This window comes from Homo sapiens, chromosome 9, assembly GCF_000001405.40.
Source record: "Homo sapiens chromosome 9, GRCh38.p14 Primary Assembly".
Classification (NCBI taxonomy): domain Eukaryota; kingdom Metazoa; phylum Chordata; class Mammalia; order Primates; family Hominidae; genus Homo; species Homo sapiens.
The window spans coordinates 80,620,964-80,627,491 of NC_000009.12; the positions used below are offsets into that span (position 1 = coordinate 80,620,964).

The window sequence follows — 6,528 nt, forward strand, 5'->3', positions numbered from 1 at the left end:
AGGAAGAACAAATCTGCCAGATTTCAGTCAATCATGGCACCTACATGGTTATTAAAAATTTCACTAGTTTCTCTTTACCCCAGCAGATTTCCTCTACCTATATGGTAGGAGTGACCTTCTACTCATATGCCCAGATACAGCTAATGACCCTAGAGAAGAAAGGGCCAACATCCTGCATTTAATCAAGAAGATCTCATTCTTCTATAGAACTGACTTCATTTAGTTTTTTTATTATTATTATTTTTTGACCTGCAACTCTTGAATATCTTTTAAAAATAATATATGAGGAAACTTAAATGCATATTGTTAAATGAAAGAAGTCAAGTTGAAAAGGCTACATATTGTATGATTCCAACTATATGATATTCTGGAAAAGGCAAAACAGTGAAGACAGTAAATGGATCTCTGGTGAAAAGAAGGGATGAAAAGACAGAGCTCAGAGGATTTTTAAGACAGTGAATCTACTCTGTATGATACTTGATAGGGTTTGGTTGTGTCCCCACCCAAATCTCATCTTGAATTGTAATGCCCATTAGCCCCAAGTGTGATGGTAAAGACCCAGTGGGAGGTAATTGAATCATGGGGATTGTTTCTCTCATGCTATTCTCATGATAGTGAGTGAGTTCTCACAAGATCTGATGGTTTTATAAGCATCTGGCATTTCCTCTGCTGGCACTCATTCTCTCTCCTGCTGCCCTGGGAAGAGGTGTCTTCTGCCATGATCATAAGTTTCCTGAGGCCTCCCCAGCCACGTGAAACTGAGTCAATTAAACCTCTTTTCTTTATAAATTACCCAGTCTTGGGTATTTCCATATAGCAATGTGAGAACAGACTAATACAATATTCTAATGGTGGGTACATGTCACTATACATTTGCCCAAACCCATACAATCTACAACAGCAAGAGCTAAGCCTTGTGTAAACTATGAACTTTGGGTGATAATGATATGTCAATGTAGGCCCATCAATTGTAACAAATATATGCTGCTGGTGGAGGATATTGATAATAGGGGAGGCTGTAGATGTGTGGAAGCATGTGATATTTCCATATTTTCTGCTCAACTTTTCTGGGAACCTGAAACTGCTCTAAAAATAAAATCTCTTAAAAAGACTTTTTAATATATATATAGTATATAGAAGTGTATATAATATGCATTAGATAATATGGACTTTTTAATATATGTAATATTTTATACGCACACACACACACAGTCTACATTTTCCCTTGTTGTTATAGAAGAAGCAATGGTTTCTCACAAGCTTTTGCATTCTAACAAAAGTTAAACTTACATAAATTATTGAAAATCAGTATACTTCTGAGAAATCCAAATTATTGCATCTATTGAAGCAGTTATCTCTCTTGCCTACTATTTAGGCAGCAATTGATAATAAATGATGAATAGGAACCAAACCATCAAGAGTTACAGACCAGGCTTTCAACTTTTTTCTGAAATGTTTAAAACAACCATGCTTGAAATCATCTGTCAGAGAATTAGTAACTTCTTTGGTGAAAAAAAGCTTATTTTCAAATTGAGTATTCTAAGAATAAAGCAGTAAGAAAACAATATATGTGTGGGGGTCATAAGAATTTACTATACTGTAGAAGTAATGCCAAAAGGTTTTAAAATAAAATTATGAATAATCAATCTTTAATATACACTTGAATGGGAGGATATTTGACCTCTGTCACTAAGAATATGACACTAAGGACATAGCCCTTATTGACTTCCATTTCTTTTGTCTAGAATGACGTAATCTTAACATTTCTTCCAGTTCTCACTTTCTGTGACACCATTCTGATGTCCACTAAGATATCCACATAGCCTTTAGAAGTTAGTAAAGTATTGTAGTTATAAACCTGGACTTAAGAATAAAATAAATTTGAGCTTTAATCTCAGCTCTCTCTACATGTTCTGCACTATGATCTTGAGAAAGTTACCTAGGCCTTTTGAGCCTTAATTTTCTTATCTGTAAATAGAAATAAACATACCCCACCTCAGACTGTTCTTACAGTAATTATATTACATAGTGAGGACTTAGTAAATGATAAAAATATTTTATTTCCTCACTTCTAAGGCACCATTAATGTAGAAACATTTTGTGAGAATAAACTAAGAGAAATACTCTGGTATCATATATATATATGTAAATTATAAGTTGCTTCCCAATGCAGAAGTCTAAAATGAGGAAAAAAATAACGTTTTTAAAAAGAAATAATTCTTATATATTTTCCCATTTGGGGCTGAATTGCTCTTGGTGTATAATAGTGGGATTTCTGAAAGACGGTGAAATGAAAGTGCTGTGGTTTCAAATGAAAAATTAGCATTCACGATTCCACCTATAAGTAGAATTCCATACTGCCTTTTTCAGTAGTGGAAAGAAAAAATGGAGTTACACTGTAAACTCAAAAATTGGTAAGAGAAAAGTTGAAGGTCCACTTATTTTTTAAAATTCTACCTGAATGATGCTTGTTAGCCAATTCCACAGATAATCTACAATACTTTTTTAGAAAGTAAAATGGATAAACTTTACTTAGTGGTAGTCAATGTCACTTGATTAGTAACATGCTCATATAACCAGCTATTTCAGAAGAGTGACAACTTGCAATGCAATCTAGCTAAGACAAAGAACAAAGAGGAGAAAGCCATCTAATAACCGTAAAACTGTGGAAATATTGGAAAGGAAAATCAGGTTAGATGCCTTCCTAAAAATTTCATTTTGTGTGAGCTATTCCAAATTTAATATTTTAAAAAGAACTGAACTGTAAGCTAGAATGAAACCTATCAAATACTTAATGAATTGTTCGCTTTCATTTCTGAAGTCTTGAATTCCATTTTTACGGAAAATATCAAGTAGTCTATAAAGCGGAGGTACAAACTAGTCATTACATTTTATTCCTGTTTTAAAGTTAGATCTTAGTTTTAAAGTTAGACCTTCTTTTTAATTATTAGGAATATGTATCTATTGATTGTATTATTGATTATTTATTGATTGATTCATCTGCCTTGACCTTTCAGCAGTACTCTTTACCAAAAGCCTAATTTGAAAAAGGAATGTTTAGGTAATTTTTTCCCAATTAAGTAGTGAAGAATCATGACCTAGAAATTCATAGGAAATAAACCAGGAAAACTAAAATGGCATTGACCAAAGAAAGCATGGCTGAACATGAAGAAAAATATTTTATTATTCCTCTCATAAATTGGCCAAAACCAAATGACTAAAGTTTTTAAATCTGGAGTGTAAAACTTTTGAAGACAGACCTTTTAAAAGAGAAAATATGAAAAACCTTATAGAATGGCTTTAAACTATCTGAATATGGAGAGAATATGATTCAATTTCAGTAAACTTGAATTAAGTCTTATTAAACCTGGAAAATCCATTTATCTCTTTTAATTTTATGGCTTATTGTGGACAGAAATAATGCTTTATCTAGTGTGTCCCAGCCTTTGAGAAAAGAAAAATAAGAAACCCTTCCTAGGTAAATAGTTTGGCTTTTTGTATGTAAATGTTTCAGTATTGCAACATGCCCAATCTATCCCACATGCCAACCCAAAATAGGACCTGCATATGAGACATGTAGAGGAAATGACTGGATTAATTTTGTATTGTTATTAATTGTTATGCATGGGGAAATATATGGGAAAATTATTTATCAAATAATCTCAAGGAAGAGATGGGCCGTCTCTGTAGCCCTTCTTGGATCAAAATAAAGCTCGAGGAAAGGTTTTGACTGAGACCTCAAAGAAACAAGTTTCCTCTGGAAACCTAGTCTTCACAGAGGGCTTCATATAACATGGGAGCCAGCGTAATGAGGTATTGGAAAGAAATCTTGAAATCATGGGTTACGTTTTATTGTTTTCAAGTAAAGAGAATAAAGATTGTTCATTTTTCCATAGTTTTACCATTAAGAGTCCCTTGAGAAAAGTGAATGAGAAGTTACACATTTCTGACAAAGAAATTCTTTATTTAGCCACACATTTCAAGGTTGTGATTACGGCATCAGTAACTGGCTAGAGAAGAGATTGCACTGAGGCAGATAATAAAGTTCATTGAACTATGTGATCCAGGCAGTATACACACATGGTAAAGCTCTTCCTGGGATTACAGATCTGACATTTTGAGCTTACCAGTTAAGGAGAGATTTTTGAGAAAAGCAAGCAAAAGTAAAAACAACAAAACCAAATTAATTTTTTCCTTTAAACTATGAAACCACCACCTAAACAATAGAGTCTTTTCTGTGCCTATGGCACTTACTAAAGCATTTTCTACAATTTCCTTGAGCTGATAATATCAAAAGTAGAATAATAAGTATATTAATAATATTAAATTTCGTATTACTAAGAAAGTAAGTAGATTAATAAGAATAACTATTTACAACTAACATTAAGAAATACTTTTCTTTACATTATTTGGGTATAGCTAATGAAAATACCCCAAATCTGGAATAATATTTTTACTAATAAGTAGGTTTCCAGTATAACCTGATACTTGATAATCACAAAACAAATAACCATGTCATGTTTTAGAAATATAAACGCCATAAATTGCAACAATGATTGTATTTTATATCTCCAAGTACTTTTTAATTACTGAAAAAGTTGATTAGTACATTCATCAATCTCCCCATTATTTTCCTCTGATTTATTAAAATCACACTAAGCAATTCAGGAACACAGTTCTAATTCATTAGAGACTTTAACTTAAGACAAATTTTAAAATGTTTAATTGAACAACTGTCATATTAAAATGCTGGTGGACTTCTGTTGGCATGATCCGTAACTTTCTACCTTTGTAAATATGAATAGATTAGGAGCCAATAATAAAACAAGAAAGAAACAAAAAGAATGATTCTTATATTCTACATATACTCTATAGAGAACCTCAATAACCTTTCTACTAATGAGTGGAGTATATCTGATGAAATTCCCCTTTGGACATTTTTCAGATATTAAATTTTGAAATGACATATCTCGCAAACAAAGGTGGAAGCAATTTTATCCTATTAACAGCTTGAAATTTTGCACAATGAAAATGGAAAGGGAAAGTAAAATGAGGTTAAAGAGAAAGCTAATTAGAATTTGGAAGTTTGCTGGGTTAATGTCTAGACTTTGGAGGTCTAGGTTTAACAATTTGTGTACCACATAGTTTAGCTCTAAAGATTGATCTGTGCTCAACAGACTTGATGAATAGACCTCTTTCTCAGAATGCTAAAGATGCACATTGCAATATCATGAGAGTGAATGTGTAGGAAAAGAAACACACAAACAAAATATGCAGAGCTTTTTATAAATCTCATGTACTCAGAAGGTTCTCAAAATTAACATAGAAAAGAAGCTACAGAAAAGGGGAAAATACTTCTGAACAGTTGACCACCTATGGAACAGCCTCACAGGCAGAACTGTTTGCTTACCTGGTAAGGATATAGCCCAGAAACATTCTCCACTGTACTTGATGAATTGTTTTTCTTTGTTACACTCTGAAAGTTTTCACCAATTATGAATTGATTGGGTTGAAACTGTCCCGATTAGGATGCAAATCCCCATGGTATAAGCAATCAGTTGATCTAATTTTAATTTTTAGAATCAGATAACTGAAAACAATAAGGAAGAAGAAAGCATTATTTGGTGATAGAGGGAAGAGCCAGTCCTTTTTGATATTGAACAATTTTATTTGATAGGGCAGGTAGAAAGAAGGCTTATGATAACCCTGGGTACTAAATGACTGGGAAGGTACCTGAGACTGAAAAGAATCAGAAGGTGTGAAAGAGACTGTATGATAATTATAAAATGATGCCCATGATCAACACGGTATGTGTGCCCCATACTGATATGTCATATCAATTAGGAGATTCAGTTGCAAGTAACAAAACGTCCAGCTCAAACCACTGTAGAAAAACCAATGGGGCCCTCTGGGCAAAACAACACAGGTTCTAGGTCATTTCCCACATTCTAACTCCAGAGATGCTATGGAATAAAAATGAAAGTACTGGAGTCTGAAGAACTAATGCAGAATTCATGAGAGACCACAGAGAGAGTAACACTGAATGTCACTATGAAAGTATACACACGAGGTGGCATGGGAACAGGCTGGAGAAGGGTAAGGGCCAAAAAAAGAAGGTATTATAAGGTATTAAGTAACGAAACTAATAAAGATTATTCAAGATTTGATAAAGAAAAAATTTAATCTCTAGCTTATTATATAAAATATTATTTGAATAATTAGGCAGATGTAGCATATGCAGAGATGAAAAAACTTAAAGTGCAAGGATGTTACGCCTTCCAAATTAATCTACAAACTCAATGTTATGCAAATCAAACTGCAGTTGAGGTATTTAGGGCATTCAACAAGTAAATTCTAAAATTCAGATAGAAGAATGTATCACAGTAGCTAAATCTATGTTGGTAAAGAAAATTGAAAGAGGGTAACTAATTCCACCAGATGTTAAAGCACACTACAAAAATGCAACAACAGGAGTATGGAACTAGTATAGAAACAAATAGACCAATAGATAATAACATATACATCAGC

General features: G+C 33.0%; 1 annotated feature.

Annotated features, from left to right (window-relative positions):
• Positions 322–854: an enhancer, noted in NCBI's record as "OCT4-NANOG hESC enhancer chr9:83236200-83236732 (GRCh37/hg19 assembly coordinates)". NCBI's record gives its function as "activates a minimal SCP1, AML or CMV promoter by ChIP-STARR-seq in naive H9 embryonic stem cells {active_cell/tissue: H9 hESC(naive)}" and the evidence as "EXISTENCE:reporter gene assay evidence [ECO:0000049][PMID:30033119]".